Below are 24,385 nucleotides of genomic sequence, written 5' to 3' on the forward strand. Positions count from 1 at the left end.
GTTAGTAGCCATCGACGCTCACCACCTAGACCCATTCGTTCACCAAAGTTATAAAATGGTGGTATTGCAATTCTGCCATTTCTTTTTCATTTATCAATTGAAATAGCTCTCCCATATCTACTATTTTGTTAGCCAGAGGTACACTCACATAGGAAAAGCAGGATAAATTGCTTCTTTCTTGTATTTACCAATGTTCAAGGTAATAAATTTGTTCCTATCATGCTCTAATCTAAGAGTAACCAATTCCTTTTTAAAATACCATTATGAACTCAAGAATTTAAACACACTTCACAGGTTTCTACCGATCTCTGGCCAGTGGGAATTCTACAGTCATTTCTCCAGTCTTTCTGAAATGACCCTAAATAGTCTTTAACAGCCTCCTTACTAACTGTTATGACAATGTTCCAGCTCAGCATGTACATTTCTTGCCCAAAACCTAGAATCAGCAATTTTGCCAGAAAGGCTTGGTTTCTTTTAAGGTGGAATGGTTTTTCCCAACACCACAATTTGGGTGCTACAGAAGTTCACTGCACACAGCACTGTAAATGTTCAATTGCTACTCAATTGGTCATTTTTGATCTAGTCCTCTTCAGTGTTCACAGTCAGGAAACAAACAAACACAGTTGGGTACATATATTTTTGAAAGATAAAATACCTAATAAGCGCATACTAGTAAGTAACTTTCCATTAAAATATGGAATAATCAGTTTGACTTAACCTCTGCAGTATTACATCTATACTTCCTCTCTTGCCCATTAAGAATCTAGCATATGCAGGAGCAATATATGTCCTAATACTCACTTACTTGATGCAACAATATAAAGTTTCAGAATAACAATATTAATTATGACCACAACAATGTAGTTACTATAAGAATTAAATTTATGGCCAGGCATGGTGGCTCCCACCTGTAATCCCAACACTTTGGTAGGCCGAGACAGGTGGATCACTTGAGTCCAAGAGTTCAAGACCAGCTGGGCAACATGATGAAATCCCGTCTCTACTAAAAATACAAAAAATTAGTCAGGTGTGGTGGTGTGCACCTGTAGTCCCAGCTACTTGGGAGGCTCAAGGTGGGAGGATAGCTTGTGCCCAAGAGGCAGAGGTTGCAGTGAACAGATTCTGCAACCTCTGCAAAATTCAAGCAATTCTCCTGCCTTAGCCCCCTGAGTAGCTGGGATTACAAGCGCCCACCACCATGCTCGGCTAATTTTTGTATTTTTTGTAGAGGCAGGGTTTCACCATGTTGGCCAGGATGGTCTCACTCCTGACTTCAGGCGATCCACCCACCTTGGCCTCCCAAAGTACTGGGATTATAGGCATGAGCCACCATGCCCAGTCACAAATCTTCTTGTAAGAAACTTTTTCTATAGTTGTTCATAGTTGTTCTATTCCCTTGCTTTGCTTTTCTTTCCAAAGAGTCTTATTATCTGTATGTTGTTTCTTCTTTGCCTATCTTCAGTATTTATCATTTTCTCTCAAATCATCTTTTGTCTTTCTGTATTTCTTTTTGGTCTTTAAATTTTTCCTCCTTTTCAACCTCTATTTAAAGGTTTTTTGGTTTATTCAACCTAGTGTCCCTTCTAGTTTTCTTTTCTGAAGTGATTTTTTAAATTCTTTCTTAAGTTCTATCATTTCATTTCTGAATTTTTCTCTTTTTTTTTTTTTTTTTTTTTTGAGACAGAGTTTTGCTCGTCACCCAGGTTGGAGTGCAATGGCACAATCTTGGCTCACTGCAACCTCTGCCTCCCGGATTCAAGCGATTCTACTGCCTCAGCCTCCCGAGTAGTTGTGATTACAGGCGTGCATCACCACGTCCAGCAAATTTTTGTATTTTTAGTAGAGACGGGGTTTCACCATGTTGGCAAGGCTGGTCTCGAACTCCTGACCTCAGGTGACCCGCCTGCCTTGGCCTTCCAAAGTGCTGGGATTATAGGCGTGAGTCATTTCTGAATTTTTCTAATCTTATGTTATCCTTTCACATGTCATATTGGTTCCTCAATGACTTTTGACTCATTTATTTATTTAAAATTTAAAGAAAAAATTTATTGAAGATTTGAAAAATAATTCCTAAAAGATTGACTTTTCCAGAAAACTAGCTACACAATGCATCTCATCTACCATGTTAAAATGTGCACTAGACACAAATACAAAAACCATGCAACAAGCCACCATTCTTCAACAATTTGAGCAAAGTTAAATGCCAAAGGAACAACATGGATGACTTGCAAAGAATGGGCTATTTAAGCACCATTTAAAAAAAAAAAAGGAGCACAAATGGATGAGTGTGTTCAGTTATATACACTGAATTGAACCTTTGGCACTAGGAATCACAGCATTTTGTCATATAGCATGAACACATATTATAAAAGTACGTAGGGTCAAAGGAACAGGACCACCAGCATTCAAAAGCAGCTCTGTCAACTAGGCAATAAAACACTCTATAGCATGTGTCTCTGTTGTCCATTGTTGAATACACTGGCAGGAACTTTGAAGTGAAAAAAAAGGTAAGATAGGAAAAAAGGAGCTATTACTCCTTTTATTTTCTCTGTTTAAAATTAAACAGGAAAACATCAATTGTTGTACAATAACATCTTCAAAGTGCATCATTTGTACAAAAGAAAGACTAAGAACAAAAATGTGTTTACAGAGATCCAAACATAAGTGAGTGAGAGCGTCTCTCAGACAGCTTTCTGATGGTTCTCTGGAGGAGCCATTCATAATTGCTGGGCACTAAAAAATGTTGCAGAATTCTTTGCCAGGTACTTTAGGGAACTGTGAAGATAATTCAGTAATAAAACAAGGCTCGGCCAGGCACGGTGGCTCATGCCTGTAATTCCAGCACTTTGGGAGGCTGAGGCGGGCGGATCACGAGGTAAGGAGTTCGAGACCAGCCTGACCAACATGGTGAAATCCCGCCTCTACTAAAAATGTAAAAACTAGATGGGCGTGGTGGTGCGCACCTGTAATCCCAGCTACTCAGAAGGCTGAGTCAGGAGAATCGCTTGAACCCGGGAGGCAGAGGTTGCAGTGAGCTTGAGATCATGCCACTGCACTCCCACTTGGGCAACAGAGCGAGACTCCATCTCAAAAAAAAAAAAAAAAAAAAAAAAAAAAAAACACAAGGCTCTTCTCATCCAGAGGTATATAGGCCAACATTGCTCCAATTTGTACATCAGTAGATGTGGTGCTCCATAAACCTTGGACATGAGTGCATGAGGGTGATCTGCAAGAATTTCAGCATACTGTGGTCTGTCAAACTTGCAGAGTAGCTGGGTGCCCAACATCACATTGAAGTATTCTTCTATCCCTGCCACAACTTCATTAACAGCATACTCATTATCTGTGTTTCCACGAGATTTTTTGCAATTTGCATAATCCTGGAGAATGGAATCCACATTCTTCCTGGCAGAAAGAAAAAAGAGATGTTTTTGTCTGGTAATTAAGTCCCAGTCATCAACAAGCCATGGTTTCAGCTCTTCAGGAATCTTCACTTTTTAGCTTCAACTCTGTTCATGAATGTGTCCTCATTTTCAAGAGTAGGATCTACCCGGGGGCCCTTTTCTTCCAAGGAGGCTGAGGCATCTCACTGGTACTGCCACCATCTCCATTTCCAGGTATTTTCTGTTTGTTCTTTTTTGTTTTCACTTCAACATTTTCTGTTGCAGACCAGATGTCTTCTTTCTTGGGGCAGCCCCTCTCATCTTCCCCTCTGCATACTGCTCCTGATGGGCTTTTTGAAGTTGTTTCTGCAAATTGGTGTCCACGTATTTGAGTACTCTGCTCTCTGGAACCCATGCATCCCAATTTTTATTCCAACCACTGTAATATATAAAGTATTTTACTTGTTTGTCCTTTATGGCAACCTTTACACATTTTGCTTCATAAAGAAGCAGCCCATGAAAGCACAGCACTTGCTCACCCTCCTGGAACTTAGGGTTTGAGTCCTGCTTCCACGTCATTTATAAGTGATTCGCAGCCTCCTCCTTCTCCAGCTCATTTTATAATAGAGATTTGATCTGTTCTGTGGTCATGTTTTTCTGGGGTGCTTTTATTTATAAGAGCTTTTGTTTTTTCCTTTATAATAACTTTAAATGGGATTTTACCTTGATACTTTTCTGTTTCTCTTGTCTACGTAAAATTAGTGTTCCTGAACTTTTAAAATAATGTAGAGTTCAAGGTAGTTTTTCTAACGTCACAGAATTCATTCCTCTGTTGTTTTCACATAATGTTCAAAAACCTAGTAGCTTGCTTTCTGAGATCTACTAGCCGTTGATCTTCCCATCTTTATCTGAACCTTCTCTTTCCTTCCCCTCCTGTTTTACTCTATTCTATTGTCCCTATCCTGCTCAATTTGGATTATTCTATCCTATTCAATTTTGTTTTAATCAGTGTGGTGCTCTGTCCTGGATGAGCACTCTGGCAGGTTCATTTCAGTAGTTCCATTTTGAGAGTTCGTTGGGGCTAGACTGCTCTAGCTTCTTCTGTCTTTACCATAGTCACACTGCACTTGCCTAATATTGGAGTGGGCAACCCTCCCACCCTCCTATTTCAGCTGCTGTTCTTAAAATAACCCACCATCTTGTCCAGCAAATAGCTGTGGCTATTTTGGCGTTCCCCTGCTTTCAAGTCTTATGAGACACCCTGTTAAATCTCCCTGCTTACTCTCGCATAGACAGTGATAACATGGAGGTCTTGTGGCTGTTGGTGGTTTGCCCTTATCTAGTTGTGCTTTCAAATGACTAAGGCTATAGTCAACTTTATCCATGTTTTTGGATTTGCTATCTAGTTTCTGTAGGTTTTAGTTAAAAACAAAAACAAAAAAACTATGACATGGCCACATCCATCTTCCTAGACTCCCCCTCACAGCCAGATTTGAGGTCAAAAACAGCAGTTGTTTCTATATTCATCATATACTTACTTTTTGACATTTAAATTTACTTAAAACCACATTGTTATATGTCATTTCACTCTTTTTTGAAAGAAGGCAAAAAATACTCCAACTCCATGATTACAAAAAGTTTAACTGAATTCTTTATATCTTTCCTGGTTTTCAATACTTCTAAATGTTCCTTATTCTTAGTTCAGGTAATTGACAAATGTTTATTATACTTTGAAAAAATCCTACAGTCACCAAAAACTCTCATCTGGTGAGGTCTCAGATTGAGATCAAAAACCAAAATTATCATTAAAACACAAGAATCCAAATATAAAATGTCTTTAAAAATCTGAACATAATCTGAGAAGAAATTCCATGTTTATGTTTTACAGACTTTGTCTTCCTTGAACACTGAAATGTATGGTATATGCAGTAGGTTTTCTCCTTGTCCAGAGATGAGCAAACTACAGCCCACAGGCTCATTCTGCTTTACAAATAAAGTTTTACACCAGGTGCTATGGCTGATGCCTGTAATTCTAGCACTTTCGGAGGCCGAGGCCGGTGAATCACTTGGAGCTCAGGGCATAAGACCAGCCTGGGCAACATGGTGAGACGCCATCTTTACAAAAATGACAAAAATTAGCCCGGTGTGATGGCGTGTGCCTATAGTCCCAGCTACTCGGAAGGCTGAGGCAGGAAGATCGCTTGAGCCCAGGAGACAGAGGTTGCAGTGAGCTGAGATCACGCTACTGCATTCCAGCCCGGATGACAAGGTGAGACTCTGTCTAAAATAAATACGTAAATAAATAAATAAAGTTTTGCTGCAACAGTCATGCCTATTCCCTTATGCATTACTATAGCTGCTTTTAAACTACAGTAGCAGAAGTAGTTGAACCGGAGATCATAAGCCTAAAATATTTACTATCTGAGCCTTTACAGAAAATCTTGGCCAAACCCCGTCCTAGTGTAGAGTTTTATCAAAGTTCCATTAGCAGGACTTGGGGCTTTACTGGTAATTTTGAGTGGGACACTCTTTGTTGTACTGATGCCCAGCACACTGCAGGATGTTTAGCAACCTTGGACCTCCCCTCCACCACCGGAACTAAAATACTAGTAGCACTCCCAGTCCTTGGGTTAAACAAAATTCTCTACACATTTCCAAACAAAGGCAGTAAAGATGCTACCCCTGGTGGAGAACCACTGAAGAACTAAGTTAGCTCAGAGTAAGGAAAGAGGAAATACAGTCTGTAAATTCTAAATGCTATCAAGATGGATGATAAATGTAATTACTTTTAAAGCACTTTTAAAGAGCTAACTAAAAGACTATTCTTCTTCCCCTCTGGCACTTAGTCAAAAATAAACATATTTCTTAATAAAATTAGGCTTTGTAATGTATCAAGGCTTCATCGAGTTTTCTTAAAAGTTTTTTCTAATTCTTGTAATCTTACCGATTTGTTCCATCCAGATTTGATTTGTGGATGAAATTAAGTTTTGCATCTGCCCAATAAAGCTTTTGTTCTTCATAATCCAAAGTCAGTCCATTTGGCCAGTAAATTTCACTGTTTATTATAATGAAGCGACTTGAACCATCCATTCCAGCACGTTCTATCTTTGGCACTTCTCCCCAGTCTGTCCAGTACATGAACCTAAAAATCATAAAAATAATTAAAGCCATGACAGAGCAGATATCAATCAAATACTCTGTAATTATTACTATTAAAGAAAGCTCAGGCCGCGCGCAGTGGCTCACACTTGTAATCCCAGCACTCTGGGAGGCTGAGGCAGGCAAATGACGAAGTCAAGAGATCGAGACCATCCTGGCCAACATGGTAAAAACCCATCTCCACTAAAAATACAAAAATTAGCTGGGCATGGTGGTGGTGTGTGCCTGTAGTCCTGGCTACTCAGGAGGCTGAGGCAGGAGAATCGCTTGAACCCGAGAGGCGGAGGTTGCAGTAAGCTGAGATTGTGCTACTGCACTCCAGCCTGGCAACAGAGCAAGTCTCTGTCTCAAAAACAAACAAACAAACAAACAAAACAAAAAAACACCTCATTTTAGGGACACTAAAACTCTTAGAAATTGTATTTTGAAATTCTAATATCTACCATTTGCAACTGCCCTGGTAATACCTGATTCAAACAACTATCATCAAGGATTCAAAAACCACTGAATCAAAATGTATTGGTAAAAAGGATATTTACACCATTTCAATGTATCTCCCCACAGATTACTTATTAACAACAAAGAAGAAAGTGATAACTTTAGAGAAAATAAACCCAGTGGATACCACCTTAACTGAGTCATCTAAATTAACATCACCAATAAGGGAACAAACTGGCATTATATACCTCTTCATGTGATATACCTTTACAGAACATAGTGTCTTTTATACGGTCTCTCTTGCATATTATTCCTGCCCCCAAAAAATGCATACCCCAAATAAAATTATGAGGAAACAGTGTGATTCAAGTCGAGAGACACTACAAAACAGTTGGTCTTTGACAATATCAATGTCATAAAAGTCAAAAAAAAAAAAAAAAAAAGGAGGGGGGGGTCAGGAACCAATCTAGACTGGAGGAGAGCAAAGAGATATGATAACTACATCAAGTGTATGATCTTGGACTGATGAAGTAGGAAGAAAAAAATGCTATGATCACTGGGGAGAAAAGGCAAAACTGATGTAGTGTCAAATTGCATAGTACTGTACTAATGTTAATTTCCTAAATATGCTAATTGTATTGTAGTTAGGATACAGAGGGGTTTGCTATACTACTTTTGCTTCTATTCCACAAGTTTGAAGACTTTTCAAAATAAAAAATGAGAAGTCTAAAAGTCTCATTACAGAAAAAGAAATTTTTCTTTGATGTAAAAGAAAAACTCTCTTGGGCTGGGCACGGTGGCTCATGCCTGTAATCCCAGCACTTTGGGAGGTCGAGGCACCTGTAATCCCAGCACTTTGGGAGGCTGAGGCAGGCGGATCACCTGAGGTCAGGAGTTCAAGACCAGCCTGGCCAACATGGTGAAACCCCATCTCTACTAAAAATACAAAAAAAAAAAAAAAGTTAGCCAGGAGTGGTGGTGGGTGCCTGTTATCCCAGCTACTCGGGAGGCTGAGGCAGGAGAATCGCTTGAACCTGGGAGGCGGAGGGTGCAGTGAGCCGAGATCACACCATTGCACTCTAGCCTGGACAACAAGACTCCGTCTCAAAAAAGAAAAAAAGAAAAAAAAATAGAAAAACTCTTTAATGTATTATACTTCTCTTAAAAGCATATTTTCAAAAGTTAATGAGGAGCCAGGAGTGGTGGCTCACACTTGTAATCCTAGCACTTTGGGAGGCCGAGGTGGGTGGATCACTTCAGGTCAGGAGTTCAAGACCAGCCTGTCCAACATGGTGAAACCCCATCTCTACTAAAACTACAAAAATCAGTCAGGTGCATGTAACCCCAGCTACTCAGGAGGCTGAGGCAAGAGAATCGCTTGAATCCAGGAGGCGGATGTTGCCTCAGTGAGCTGAGATTGTGTGCCACTGCACTCCAGCCTGGGCAACAGAATAAGACTCTGTCTCAAACAAACAAAAAAAAAAAAAAAAAAAAAAAAAAAGAGGTAATGAGGGTGCTATGAAACAGATCAGGCACTTAATAAATGTGTTGAAACCCAAATGAAATTCAGGTATAAGTTTTACTCAAATAATCGGTGGAATGGTAATACTGAAATGAATCTACTTAATGCATACTGATGTCTCCACTATTTCATATGAACTGCTTACTCAAAGAAATGATGAGGAGAATATCATGTAGGGGAATAAATACACCTTCTAGATACAAGGCACTGTGCTAATGGCTTCACATACATTATCTTACTTAAGCCTTAAGCAACCCTACAAAATATTATTTGTTCATCACCACATTTTGATGAGAAAACTGAGAAATGTAAGCACATCACTCAAAGTCACATTGCTAATAAATGAAGAACAGAAATTCAAACCTACATCTCTTAAATTCTGAAGTCTATGTGTATGTCATGGGTCAGAGCCTTGATTTTTAAAGAAGAGAAAGCAAAATGCTCCCTAGATTGGGGACAACAGTCAAACACTACCCAGAATGAGCGGTATGGACAAGATTAATACAGGATAAAACTGTGGCCATGAGCTGTGTAACAATGTGGTCAACAACAGACTATGTATAAAATGGTGGTCCTATAAAACTACAATACTGTATTGTCACTATACCTTTTCTATGTTTAGATACACAAATACTTACCATGGTGTTATGACTGCCACCACATTCAGTATCGTAGCATGCTGTACAGGTTCGTAGCCTAGCAGCAATAAGCTATCTTATATAGCCCAGGTGTATAGCAGGCTGTACCATCTAGGTTTGTGTAACACACTATGTTCACACAATGATGAAATCACTCAACATTTCTCAGAACATGTCCCTACTGTTAAGCGACACATGACTATATATAGGAAGGTAGACCAGACCATGTTACAATTTTTCATTTTGGCCAGGTGCGGTGGCTCACGCCTGTAATCCTAGCACTTTGGGAGGCCGAGGCGGGCAGATCACGAGGTCAGGAGATTGAGACCATCCTGGCTAACACGGTGAAACCCTGTCTCTATTAAAAATACAAAAAAATTAGCCAGGCGTGGTGGCAGATGCCTATAGTCCCAGCTACTCGGGAGGCTGAGGCAGGAGAATGGCGTGAACCCGGGACGCGGAGCTTGCAGTGAGCGGAGATAGCGCCACTGCATTCCAGCCTGGGCAACAGAGCGAGACTCCATCTCAAAAAAAAAAAAAAAAAAGAATTTTTCATTTTTATTCTGAGAACAACACAAAGGCACTTTAAGACTTTTAAAATTAAAGGTGATGGCCAGGTACGGTGACTCATGCTGTAATCCTAGCACTTTGGCAGGCCAAGGCAGGAGGACTGTCTGAGTCCAGGAGTTCAAGAACAGCCTGAGCAACACAGCAAGATGCTGTCTCTATTTTTTAAAATGAAAAAATAATAATAAAATAAAATTGGAGGTGAAATGACTGGCTTTGTGTTTTCAGGAGGGAGAAAAAAATGCCTGCGGTTTGGGAAAAAACTAGAGGAAAACTAAAAAAAATCCTGAGGCCAGGTCTTCCAATAGGCTCTGTGAGTTCAGCAAATTCTCTCCCTTAAGCAATTAAAAAAAAAAACAAGGTCAAATCTAACCACCAAAGCCTCCAAAAACTGACCAAAGGTCATACAACAAAATGAGAAGCATTTATTCCAGAAAAATACACCGCATCTCAATAAGAACTGTGGTATTTTAGCTAGGGGCTATTCCTATCCCCATCTATACTGCCAGGTTTGTGGCATAAACATTCTACTGTGGGCAAACATGGCAGGCCATAAAGAGTGGTAGCTACCTTTCCCTGCAAGAGGGGACTGACCTTATTTGGAACGAGGCATGGAAAAATCTGTACCCAGGAATGTTGTTAAAAACAAGAGTGGACTGGGCGCAGTGGCTCATGCCTGTAATCCCGGCACTTTGGGAGGCCAAGGCAGGGAGATCCCAAGGTCAAGAGGTCAAGACCATCCTGGCCAACATGGTAAAAACCCTGTCTCTATTAAAAACACAAAAAATTAGCTGGGCATGATGGTGTGCACCTGTAGTCCCAGCTACTCAGGAGGCTGAGGCAGGGGAGGCTGAGGCAGGGGAATCGCCTGAACCTGGGAGGCAGAGGATGCAGTGAGCCAAGATTGCACCACCGCACTTTTGAGATTCCGTCAAAAAAATAATAATAATAATATTAATAATAATAACGCTTTCAGTGGCAGGCATCACGAGGGCCATTATCTAACTGACTCTGGTGGGGGCAAGCAACAAAATAGCAAACTAGCCAGAAATCTAACAGGAAGATCCTAGGAAAAAGACTGCCAAGAAGAGCCTTAAGTGGATATTCATGCTTAGTAGTCAGGAAGGCTGTCTGCATGTGTAACGCTACACCAGAAAGAACACTTGCAAGCTAGTCTCTGGCTGAACATGGGTCAAATTTGAAATTGCCTAAAATTTTAAGACATTCTCCAAACCATAAACAGGTCCACAGGAAAATGGGGTAACACTAACTTGCTGGTGTTCAGGAACAACCTTTAAGCAATCATTAGCTGACCACTAAGATAACAGTGACACAGAGGCAATCCCCCAGAAAGCCAGGCATAAGAAATATTTTAAAAGGAAAACAGACCACAGAAGTAATCCAGGAAAGTCATTAAACAAAAACACACAACAATGGCAACAAGCCCAGGGAGCGGTCAGAATCCAGAATCCAGTCAATATAATATATTCATACAATGGAATACTATTCAGCAACATAAAAGAACTACTTATCAATGTCAAGGATGACTTTTTAAAATTATGTTGAACAAAAGAAACCACACATAAAAGAGTACCTACTACGTGATCCCATTATATGAAGCTATAGATGTAAAATCAAAAAGACTAATCTATGATGATAAAACCAGATTCACAGTTACTGGGGAGGAGTAAGGGATTGACTGTAAAGGGGCTTAAGGCACCTTCTGGAGTAGAGTAATGAACGTTTGTCTTAGGTGTATTTATCAAAGCCCATTTAACAATCAACAAAAAAATATGAATTTTTTGCATGTAAATTCTAACTCAGTAAAGTTGCTTAAAACGTGAATAAGAAACATAAACTATTTCAAGAAGTTAATTCAAAGGTAACTTTTCTTAGAAACCTTTCCCAGCTTACTAAGGCAAAGTTATTCCCTCTTCTGAGCTCTTGGCAGGTTTTGTTATATACTATAGTACTTATCAGAGTTTGTAGATAAACTATAAAGAACTCAAAGGTAAAGACTAGGTGTCACTACCACATCACAATGACTGGCACATTGCACGTATTCTTTTTTAAATAAAGATGAATCCAGACCTTGTGCTTTCCATTTTCAATTTCTCCTCTAACCCCCAACTCAGTGCACACTGAAATGGGTAAAGGAAGACACATGAGATGCTACAAGAAGAGAAAGAAGTACAAAAGGTTAATAACCTAAGCATAGGGACAGCCAGAAACAGTGAAATGGTTTTGTGTGCCTATGTCTATTATAATATATGAACTAGATTTCTCCTCAGGATATCTTTAATACACAAATCAATTGATATTTCCATCTTGATAGAGTAATACAGTTAAAAACAAGTCCACAGCACACTTCATTAGCCACCTCCCATCTTTTCTCTATTAATGCATAAAATGAAAACTACCAGTATCTTTAAACAAACAAGTGTAGAGAAATAAGAAGTTACTCTCACTGCAATATCTACTAATCTATACTCTGCGCCGTGTGTGCAACATGCATTACTTGAGATTACGTGATACAAAGTTTGAAATGTTGCCATCACAGGCTGGGCTGACCAGAAGCAATTTGCACACTATAAAGACAGAAAATGCAATAAGGGCTATTGTCTTTCTTGTACAATATAATTTAGGTAGGTTTCCTAACTGTAACTAATCTAAGCATTTAACTTTGTAACTCAGTGTCTAGTTTATGGTGAAATAAAATGTTACAAATGAGTGAGTCAACCTAACAAGATTTTAGTAATGAATAAAAGTATTTGCATGCCACTATGTACCAAAGCTAATGGATAATCCCTTCATTATTCAACCCTAAAAAATAAATCAAGTCATGTTTTTTCAAGGATAAGACCCAGATAAAGATTCCAACTACAATAAGTGAAACTAAGGCATTTGTCAGATGAGAACTTGACGAAAATTAGCATTTTTAAATAGATTACAGATGTGCCTTCATTTGTGCAAATATTTAAAATATAAAGGAATAGATTTCATCTATAAATACTAAACATTTTCATTAACTTTTAAATTAAAAAGCTCATTACAAATGTAACCGAAAAAGCGATTAGGACACAGAAAATTTTTAAAAAGTATTTTTTAAGTTACCAATATATTATTCAATTTTCTTAAGGTTTTGAACACCTATTAAAGCGGTGAGCACCTATTAGGAGCTAAGCACCATGCCTGATACAGGGAATATGAAAATAAGCAAGGCAAAACTATTGCCCTTACGAAATTCGCAATGTAGACAAGGAGTGGCAAGTATATTGAGGAAGGTATAAACAGGAGGCTCTGAGAGTATAGAGAAGTGACACCCAATCAAGTCAATGAATGTAAGAGTTGTCAATAAAATATACCAGAGAAAGTATGTATTTTACTTAGGCAGTTGCCAAAATGGGAAATAGTGTTCCAGGAAGAGGACATAGCATATGAAGTCATGATATATTCAATAAACAGCAAGAAGATCCATAGAGCTGTAGCATATCGTGAGGTACATTGACAATGAAAGAAATCCCACGTGTATTATTTTACTATACTAAGAAACTTGGACTCCAGTGACAATAACATTGAGGGACTGGCTAGAGGAAGAAGAAACAAGAAAAAGCCAGAAAACTGAAATATTCCAAATAAGAACTAATGAAGGCAACAGAAGTTGAGGACTGGATCAATATGAAAGAGGAATGAGAAAGGATAGACTAGGATGGCTCCCAAGATTTACAAATGTGAATGTGTGTGTATTGGTGTCATTCAACATAATATGGAATTAGATGTGGTTTGGGAGAGCAAGATGATGAGTTCAAATATGGATGAATTGAAGCATCCTCACCTCATTGTTTTTCCTTCTGTATCCAGACCACCAGTCAATAGAATAACAGGAAAATCAGTGTAAAAATAAGTGAAAGTTGGTTAGAAAAGGTAAATAAAGTAAAAAGCATATTAACAGTCAAAGAAGTTGGTCTACAGTAACAGGGCAAAATAAATCACAATTACGAGTTGCATATGAAACTAAGTCAATCCAGAAGTGTTGAGCCATGCTAATTCTAAGAACATTAATGTGACACATGTAAGTAACTCTGAAAGGACCTATAAAAAGCCACAGGTCCTCAAAAACATTTTGTTGCCATCAAATTTATTTTGGGGGAAACTTCAAAAATCACATACATCATTATCAAATTGAAAATGCAGCCAGTGAAAATAGTTCTGATTTTAATGTGAAAAAGAAAAGTGTTGTGTAAAATTCACACCCTTCCTGTTACTAACCCCTGAACTTGATTCCTGACCCCATGTTCCTCTCTTACTCCGGTTAGTAGATTAGGCTTTAAGTGAAGAGGAGTTTGAAGAATTTACGGATTTCTGCTTCCTAATAGAAGTGAAAAGAAAAAAAGAATTGTGAAGAAATCGGACCTACTTCTGCACTTCCCCTCTACTTGATCATGTGTTGGTATCATATTTTAAAAACAAGTAGAAATTAATAAAAGAGGATAGTGAAAGCATTCATGTTAGCAGGTTGGTTTCTGTGGTTGTTTTTACAGAGAATATACAGTAACCAGATAAAAGAGTCTGGGCTGGGTGCAGTGGTTCACACCTGTAATCCCGGCACTTTGGGAGGCCAAGATGGGCGGCTAATGATGTCAGCAGTTTGAGACCAGCCCGGCCAACATGGTGAAACCCCAAACCCCAACTTGACTAAAAATACAAAAATTAGTTAGGCGTGGTGGTGGGCACCTGTAATCACAGCTACTTGGGAGGCTGAGGCAGGAGAATCACTTGAACCTGGGAGGTGGAGGTTGCAATGAGCCGAGATCGTGCCACTGCACTCCAGTCTGGGTGACAGAGCAACACTCCGTCTCAAAAAAAGAGAGTCTGGAATGGAATTAGATAGACATGGTTTGGGACGGTAAGATGATGAGTTCAAATACGGACGAACTGAAGCATCCTAACCTCACTGTTTTTCCTTCCGTATCCAGAGTAGGGATGGCTTTGTCATCCCATGTTTTTACCTGTCCCTCAATAGGGATAATAATTCTACCTAATTACTTGCTTGTGACAGTATGCATCATCATGAAATTCTGAATGTATAAACTGGTTGCCCTGGAGAAAATAAGAACCTCATGAACAGCCTTAAGCACCCAGTCTAGTCGATTACTTTTAAAAAGTTAGTGGACATAATGCAAAGAATATATTTAATTCAGAAATAACATTGGTAAACCACTACTAGAAGATAAAGATTATAACCTGAAAGCGGGTAACAGATTACATCAATTTAATTCCCAACTATCATCAAAGAAAATGCTAACTCTAGTAATTTTTCAAAATTGCTGTTATACGTCATTCCTCTTTCCAAAGAATCAAAGGTGATGCATTTTGAGCGCCTCTAAGTTTAATAAAAATGAAATATTAACTGTCAGGAATGCCCCCTTCAAGCATACTCTCCTCTGTGCTCCTGCACGTTATTCTGATACTATGCTCCAGGTACAAACTACATCTCTGTACATTTCAAATACAGTATTAGGACTGTTTACTCATATGTTTTCACCACTCTAGATTCCAGGTCCTTGAAAACAAGGACTTTGTTTTATTTTTTGTTGTATCCCCTATCCTAAAACAATCTAGCATAATGCCAAGTACACAGTCAGCACTCAAATATTTAATAATGGTCTGCACTCACCTGCTCGTGAGACCTCTTGTATCTGTCTTATTACCAAGGCCGTATCCTTGAAAAATACAGGTAAAATTTTATTTTAATGATTACATTATTCTACTATGCTCCAGTTATGAGCTGCTTTTCTTTGAATGCACAAAAGCATGAAGAGAGCCTGTCACATAATATTTCTACTGACTAAAAATTATTACCCACTTCCACACCTTGTCCCTCTAGCCAACAACTGCTCGGCTAACAAGCACCACCCTAAAATAGTGCATCCCCACCGCCCCCCTGCCAAGTAAAAGTGAATACTCTGTCCTTTGTGTCCCCACCATACAGATTTCCATAGCAAAACTTATAGTTTCACTGGTTTATTCATGATTCTATATAATCAGTCTCTTTATATATTTTGCAACTAGTTTGTCTCAGAAGGTATACTAGAATATCCTGTCACTCAAATCTGGAAGCTATATATGCTTCACTGACTTTTTCATTAAATGGTCTCATAGAGAGAATTTTATTTTTTTTAAGGTAAATTTATTTCAGTCATGCTCTATGAGAACTTCAACTACCTTTCTAATAAATACATCAAAATTAGTTTCTGAGGAAAATTTTGTCCTTGACCTTGAGAATTCTTGGTCTTGAGAATTAGAACTTATCCAGCTCACCTCACCTGCTTTAACTGAATTGCACTTTGCCCAGATGCCGCAGGGACAAATGCCAAAGAAATGTGTCACTGTGGATATTATAAAGATATTGTTGAATATATTTTTCATTATATCATATAGCAGCTTCTTTAGAGGACTAATGGGAAGAAACTGGTTTCATCATCTGGAGTAAATATTTTTTTCAGTGAACAGCTTTTATCTAAAGGACATTAACTCATACCTGATACTTTCTTCCCTAAGGAATCTGGCTTAAAATCAAATGTGTGTGGAAGTATATGGGAATTAATGACATATGTTTTGGTATGTATATTTTCACTCCTGGTCTCATCTTACATGTATACTCTTATATTTCCATCTCAATTTTAAAATTTTATTTTATAAAATTAATACATTTATTTATTTTGCATCACTTTTTTATATCTTCCTAAAACATCTTAAATCCTTTTAGAGACAAAGTAGGAAAAACATTTACTATTTTTTTCAGTTTAGCTATTGGGGATTAAACATTTTTCTTATTAATTTGTATGCACTTTTTATATATCAAGGCTAACTCTATTATTAATATATCTGTTACAAATATTTTTCTTTGTCTTTTTTTGCTTGAATCAAAATTTGGTTGAATCAGTATTTTTCTTTGCAATTTCTTTCATTGCTTTCATGCTTAAAAAGCCCTTCTCTCTTCAAAGATTAAACATTCACGTTTTCATTTGATGTTTAAGTTTTCACTTAAAAATTTTTATCCATCTAAAATGTATCTGAAGTATGACATGAGATACTGATATAAACTGATTTTTTCTTTCCTAACGGTAAATTCTTCTAGTATGACGTCCCTTCCCTCTTGATTCCCACTCCTTTTATCACGTTACAAATTGTAACGTACAGTATTTTCCTAATCTACTTGTTTAATATCTATTTTTTACACCAATAATGTCTCATAGATTTAACATTAGCTCTATTAATACCAGTCTTGGATAATCATGTGACCATAGTTTTAATTTTCATCTGCAAAGTGAATACTTCACTAGTTGATGTAAGGATTAAAGTAAGACACTTTATATAAAAGAAAAGTGTCTTTCCTACTGGCTTTGACCCTTCTGCTCTGATCTGGTTGCAGGACAGTTCTTCATATTTATCATCTTCTCTTAGACTTTTACCATTACCCACCCCATGGGGTCTTTTAGTCATCTAAACTCCCTGCTAATACCTATTTTATAACAGTAACCAACCAAGAAGCCAAGCAGCACCCCACTCTCAAAACACATTTTCAAAAATATGTCATAAGTAAAAGAATATTTATTGGATGCAGGTATATTACAAGAGAAAATTTAGGACAAAATAGCATTTACTCAACAAGAAAAAGGAAATTTTCCTTTATTCTTTAATAAAACATCTCAGTTAATATTTACAAGCACTGGATACAAATACTTCCTTTATGTTAAACCTAACACCCCCTTACCAGTAAAGATAAGCTTCCTTTTCATAACAGGTGAATACAATGTGCCATTCAAAGGCCCAGTCAGCTTACTAAAAACCCATTCTTCAGATATCTCATAAATCAACTATGTTATATAGTAAGAACCTGAAGTCTTTAATCATCATAAACACATTCCTGCAAAATAAATACATAAGCTTAATTCTTAAAAGGCAAAAGCTTAAAATTCATGATCTGATTTGTAAAATATGCTAAGACTAATCTTTTGGTTGCATTTATTTGAAATTTCTAAGTCATGTGAGAACTTTCTTTTTCCTTTAACTATCAGAGCCTATTTCTGTAAGCAAGCATAGAAAAAATAGTTTTCCTGGTTGGGGGAATATGGAATGCGTTTTCTCCATTTGAAACCAACCCATTAGTTCCCTAGATAGGTTTTGGATAAACATAGAAGTTGACCCTTCTGGTCTTAAAGCTTGAATCTTACATTTGTTTTACCTGAGTTCCTTCCTCAGGAAATGACCTTCAGGCTGCTCAAAGTATCAAATAACTGAAACTCACCAGATCACCACATTCAGACAGACAATAAGATGCTAGACAACTCATTCATCATGATTGCTTCCTTGGCCCGCCTTAGTTCCTGTTTCTTTTACATTTCTTCCCTGCTATATGAACCCTTCGTTTTAGTCACTCAGGGAGATGGTTTGAGACTGAGTTCTCATCTTCCTGGCTGCAGCACCCATGGCAATACTTGTTGTCTCAGTCACTGGCTTTCTCTGCAGTGAGCAGCATGACCTAGACCAAACCCCTGGTGTTTTGGTAACTCATTTTTATTTGCAGTTTCTGACATCCTTACAAATAAACATAAAGTTAACATTTTTACAAACACTTCCTAATAAGGAAAAGTTTGAGGAGGGAAGGACATCACAGGGAAATAAATATCACAGGTTCTCCCACTGATCCCTGAGATTTGAGGGGACAGCAAACTGTGCAGAAATAATGAAAAAAAATAATAAAAATAGTCTGATAAAAACAGTACTGTTGTTTACTATTACTAATGGCCTTAATCAGTAAGGACTAAGATTATTTTATTTTATTTTATTTCATTTTGAGACGGAGTTTCACTCTTGTTGCCCAAACTGGAGTGCAATAGCGCGATCTCGGCTCACTGCAACCTCTGCCTCCCGAGTTCAAACAATCCTCCTGCCTCAGCCTCACATGTTGGCCAGGCTGGTCTCAAACTTCTGACCTCAGGTGATCCGCCCGCCTCGGCCTCCCAAAGTGCTGGGATTACAGGCGTGAGCCACCGTGCCTGGCCAAGGACTAAGATTTAAGATTTCAGTAGACAGTGTTTTCAGGTATTAAAGATCAGAGTTTTCTTTTAAGAATCTATTTGTGGCCAGGCGTGGTGGCTCATGCCTGTAATCCCAACACTTTGGGAAGCCAAGGTGGGAGGATCACCTGAGGTCAGGAGTTCGAGACCAGCCTGGCTAACATGGTGAAACCCCGTCTCTACTAAAAATACAAAAATTAGCCAGGCATGGTGGCGAGCACCTGTAATCCCAGCTACTTGGGAAGTTGAAGCAGGAGAATCACTTGAACCCACAAGGCAGAGGTTGCAGTGAGCCAAGATGGGGCCACTGCACTCTAGCCTGGGCGACAAGAGGGAAACTGCCTCAAAAAATAATAATAATAATGATCTATTTGTGTGATAGACTAATGTATCTGCCTAATTGCTTCATCTTTTTCAAAATCTTCAAAGCGGTTATGGTCTTCTATACCTCTCCTCTGGTCCTAATTCGCTGCAACAGACTTTTACTTCACTTTCTTCTGTCTTAATTAAATCCACCCACAGACACACACAAACAGGGAGAAGACAGAAAGATTTGGAGACCCCTCTATCTATCATAAGCCAAAAGCTATTAGATTTCTGAATGTCCTGGATCTTCCAGCACATTTCAAAGTGACTTTGTTACCCACAATGGCCATAATGCAACATTGTTTTATAATGATTTAAATTTGAGGTTTTAAAAAATGATAATAATATAGCCAATTATACTTTTTATTCAGCTGAAAAATATGAGGGCCTGAAAACAATGTAAATAGTATTTGAGAAGAGAAGACAAATCCAAGAGCTACTTAGAAGGCAGAATAAACAAGAATTGGTAACTGATTAAATGTGAGGAGTGAGGAGGTGGGGGCCTAGAATGACTCAGGATTTTTAGTTTCTGCAACCGTTAGGTAGAATGACAGTTGTTCACAAATTCTGATATTTTGTTATAGGGTTTTCTTGGATGTGGTCTTCTCTCTGTACTTAAAATTTAAAAAAAAAAAAAAAGAAAAGAAAAGCTTTGTTAAAGGTTGTTTTCTCAAGCCCCAATAAAACTAACGGATAATCCAAACAGCCTCTTTCCAGACTTCCCATCCCCTACCCTTAAGGCCATTTTCCAGAATACTCTGAAATTAATGATTATATTACCACCACATCCCCTCCCACACACCCTCCCCCTCCCTCCCCCTGCCCCTGCAATCTGGGATTATGTAATTTCCTTACTTTCAGCATGAATCCCAAACTTCTTAGCATGACATATAAGAGCCTTTCTAATTTGTTTCTCTGCTTTTGGTTCCTCATTTCTCACGGCTCTAGTATCCTGCCTATTGCTACCAGACTGCCTTTCATAAAATACAGTATCATGTAAACACAAATCCTTTATAACTGGGGTCCCCAACCTCCAAGCCAGAGACCACTACCAGTTCATGGCCTTTTAGGAACCAGGTCACACAGCAGGAGGTGAGCAACAGGCAAGTGAGCAAAGCTTCATCTGTATTTATAGCCGCTCCCTATCGTTCATATTACTGCCTGAGCTCCGCCTCTGTCAGATCAGTGGAGGTATTAGATTCTCATAAGAGCATAAACCCTATTGTGAACTGCGCATTGCAAGGGATCTAGGTTGCGTGCTCCTTATTAGAATCTAATGCCTTATGATCTGTCACTGTTTCCCATCACCCCTAGATAAGACCATCTAGTTGCAGGAAAAAAACTCAGGGCTCCTACTGATTCTACATTATGGTGAGTTATATAATTATTTCATTATACATCACAATGTAATAATAATAGAAATAAGGTACACAATAAAGGTAATGTGCTTAAGTCATACTGAAACCATCCCTCCAGCCCAGTCCGTGGAAAAACTGTCTTCCACAAAACCAGTCCCTGGTGCCAAAAAGGTAAGGGACCACTGCTTTACGAGACACTCTTAGCTTTAAAAGCTATAGGGACTCAGATTTCCCTATTGCTAAACATACTACAAAGCCACAGTAATCAAGACAGTGTGATACTAGCATAAGGACAGACATCTAGATAAATTTAAAAGAAATGAAAATCCAAAAATAAACCCTTATATTTATGGTCGATTGACTTTCAATGAGGATGTGAAGACAGTTCAGTGGGGAAAAACAGTCTGTTCAACAAATAGTGCTGGGATAACTGGATATCCACATGCAAAACAATGAAGCTGGACCTCTAAAGGACATACAGAAATTAATTCAAAAACGATAAAGACCTGATTGTAAAAGCTAAGACCATAAAACTCTTAGAAGACAATGAGTAAATATTCATGATCCAGAATTAAAAGAATGGTTTCACAGATATAACACTAAAACCACAAGCAACAAAAGAAAAAAACAGATCAGACTTCATCCCAAAACTCCATTATATGTGTGTTTCAAAAGATACCACAAAGAAAGTGAAAAGGCAACCCACAGAACAGGAAATCAGTATTTGCAAATCGTATGTCCGACAAAGGTCTGGTTTCCAGAATATATAAAGAGCTCTTAGAACTCAATAATAAAAGGACTTACCAGGCATAGTGGTTCATACCTATAGTCCCAGCGACTGGGGAGGCCAAAGTGGGAGGACCACTTGAGTCCAGGAGTTCAAGACCAGCCTGGGCAACATAACGAGAACCCCCATCTTTACCAAAAAAATTTAAAAATTTGCCTGGTGTGGTGTCACCCACCTATGGTCCCAGCTACTCAGGAGGCTAAAATGGGAGAATCGCTTGAGCCCAGGGAGTTGAGGCTGCAATGAGCCATGATCATGCCACTACATTCCAGGCTGGGGAACAGACCAAGACCCTCTCTCAATAATAATAATAATAATAATAATAATAATAATAATAATAATACTATACAATTTTAAAATAGGTATTTCACAAATCAAGATTTACAAGTGGTCAAAGCACAGAACATGTTCAACATCAGTCAGTAAGGAAATGTAAATCAAAACCTCAATAAGACATGCCTATACACCCACTAGGATGGTTATAACTTTTTAAAAAAGGAGAGAGGGCCAGGCACAGAGGCTCACACCTGTAATCCCAGCTACAAAGAAGGCTGAGAAGGGAGGATCACTTCAGCCCAGGTGTTTGAGGCTGCAGTAAGCTATGACCATGCCACTGTACTCCAACCCAAGTGACAGAGCAATACCCCCATCTCTTTAAAAAACAAAAAACCAGGAAGAGACAAAGAATAGCAAATATTGCAGGAAAGAGAGAAACTGAAACCCTCATACACTGCTAGTGGAAATATAAAAATGGTAGAGCAAGTTTAAAAAACAATGTGGGGCTGGGTGTGGTTGCTCACGCCTGTAATCCCAGCACTTTGGGAGGCCGAGGCGGGTGATCACCTGAGGTCAGGAGTTTGAGACCAGCCTGGCCGACATGGTGAAATCGCACCGAGATCTCACCACTGCACTCCAGTCTGAGCAACACAGCAAGGCTCCATCTCAAATACAATAAAATAACAACAGATTACTTGTAGGGCCCACTTTAGTTACAAATTTTATACTCTTAACTGTCTACCCCTTTTTGGTTTTTGTTTGTTTGTTTTTTGAGACAGTCTCACTCTGTCGCCCAGGCTGGAGTGCAGTGGCACCGTCTCGGCTCACTGCAACCTCCACCACCCGGGGTTCAAACGATTCTCCTGCCTCAGCCTCCCAAGTAGCTGGGACTATAGGTGCCCGCCACCACGCCTGGCTAATTTTTGTATTTTTAGTAGAGATGAGGTTTCCCATGTTGGCCAGGATGGTATCGGTCTCTTGACCTTGTGATCCGCCCACCTCAGCCTCCCAAAGTGCTGGGATTACAGGCGTGAGCCACCCCAACAGGCCAACTGTCCTCCGCTTTTGTATCTACCATTGCACCTCATTCATTTTTCAACATTAGAAAGGGGGAAAAAATACAAACAAGACTCAAATCACAGCAAAGATATCCACAAATCCTGTAACCATTCCCTTTCATTCACAAAATGTTCTTTCATGGATATATGGCACTGGAGGGGGCTACCCAGCTTTATCGAATCCACTTTCCTATGTTTGGAGAATTCTTCACTTTATAAGGCAGAACCTTGCCCTAAAACTAAAGAAACTGAAAACCAGGTATTTGCTTTCCACATCTCTCTCCTAACTGGGACAGGGTTACGTGTAAGTCCTGAGCTTTTCCAGTCAGACAAACCAACCCCGACTTTGAAAAACTGAATCAACAAAAGGAGGAGGACGTAGAGGTCAAAGAGGAAGCAGCGACAGAAGCAAGCCCCATAAGCAATCCATTCTGGTGAGGTTGAAGGCAACAGCAACAGCTAATTTACTCCAGTTTGAATTAATTAATCCTTCCAGCTGGGCACGGTGGTTCACGCCTGTAATCCCACCACTTTAGGAGGCTGAGGCGGGCGGATCACCTGAGGTCAGGAATTAAGAGACCAGACAGGCCAACATGGTAAAACCCTGTCTCTACTAAAAATGCAAAAATTAACCAGGTGTGGTGGCACACGCCTGCAGTCCCAGCTACTAGGGAGACTGAGGCAGGAGGATCACTTGAACCCAGGAAGCAGAGGTTGCAGTGAGCTGAGATCATGCCACTACATTCCAGCCTGGGCAACAGAGCGAGAACCTGCCTCAAAAAAAAAAAAAAAATTCTTCCTTCATCCAGTTTTAAAAGGGAACACTGACAACAGTTTTAGGAGTATCTGTCACCTTATGTCAGAGAAAGTACAAATAGTGTGAACATGTCACCTAACAGTGATGCTTTCACTGGACCAGCTCTGCAGTATAGTACGTAGCACACTGTTCCTGCACAAGACTGGTTCTTCTACCCTTTAGGAAATTCTATGAATAGCCCAATATCCTCTTTAATCACAAAGCCATTTATGATTAAAGTAGAGGGATTTCTATTATTTAAGACTATGAACACTAACGCATATTTTTCTTAGTTTTTTTTTTTTTTTTTGAGACAGGGTCTCACTCCATCACCCAGGTTGGAATGCGGTGGTACAATCTCAGCTCACTGCAACCTCCACCTCCTGGGCTCAAGCGATCCTCTCACCTCAGCCTCCTGAGTAAATGGGAGCATAGGAGTGCGCCACCACACCCGGTTAATTTTTTCTATTTTTAGGAGACACAGGGTTTCACCACATTGCCCAGGCTGGTCTCAAACTCCTGAGCTAAAGTGATCCGCCCACCTCAGTCTCCGAAAGTGCTGGGATTACAGGCATGAGCCACCACGCCCAGCCTAACACATATTCTTAGATCACAACGGCATCCCAAAGCATCACTTTAAAGTTCAGATAAAGTAACTTCAACCCTTGCTCTGACAAAGTTTCGTATCTTACAACTCCCTACCTTCTACAAGTGGCATGTTTGCAGTCTCAGTTCTTCCCACAATCTACTATGACCCCTCTCTCCTTAAGAACCAATGTCAATATTCGTGAGACTGGTTAGCAGAAAACTGTCAGCTAAATCACATCCTGACCCTTCTTTCTGTACACACATTTAAAACAACATCTTGATGCAAACTGATATAAAAGGAACAATTTATTACAGATGCAAAAGCCAACTTAACATTAAACTTTTGTATTTATATCACCATAAACA

At 39.1% G+C, this 24,385-nt stretch overlaps 1 protein-coding gene and 1 pseudogene across 16 annotated transcripts in view, besides 1 other annotated feature; both read right to left on the reverse strand.

Annotated features, from left to right (window-relative positions):
• LRP6 (LDL receptor related protein 6) overlaps positions 1-24,385 on the reverse strand; it is a 151,020-nt gene that overhangs the window by 80,851 nt on the left and 45,784 nt on the right. For 14 of the 16 annotated variants that reach the window (NR_182264.1, XR_002957325.2, NM_002336.3 and 11 more), the window contains one exon: positions 6,328-6,525. The exons of 1 other annotated variant lie outside the window; for it this stretch is intronic. Coding sequence is in view for 12 of the 15 variants with exons in the window: in NM_002336.3 (NP_002327.2) it covers positions 6,328-6,525 (198 nt within the window). In the remaining 3 variants the exon portion in view is untranslated. Of the gene's footprint in view, positions 1-4,921; positions 5,531-6,327; positions 6,526-24,385 lie in introns of those variants that run through there. One more of the 16 variants, XM_047428844.1, reaches the window with a different exon arrangement.
• On the reverse strand, positions 2,022-3,991 carry MORF4L1P2 (mortality factor 4 like 1 pseudogene 2; annotated as a pseudogene).
• Positions 18,712-19,211: an enhancer, noted in NCBI's record as "H3K4me1 hESC enhancer chr12:12368521-12369020 (GRCh37/hg19 assembly coordinates)". NCBI's record gives its function as "activates a minimal SCP1, AML or CMV promoter by ChIP-STARR-seq in naive H9 embryonic stem cells {active_cell/tissue: H9 hESC(naive)}" and the evidence as "EXISTENCE:reporter gene assay evidence [ECO:0000049][PMID:30033119]".

Source organism: Homo sapiens, chromosome 12 (genome assembly GCF_000001405.40).
Source record: "Homo sapiens chromosome 12, GRCh38.p14 Primary Assembly".
Lineage (NCBI taxonomy): Eukaryota > Metazoa > Chordata > Mammalia > Primates > Hominidae > Homo > Homo sapiens.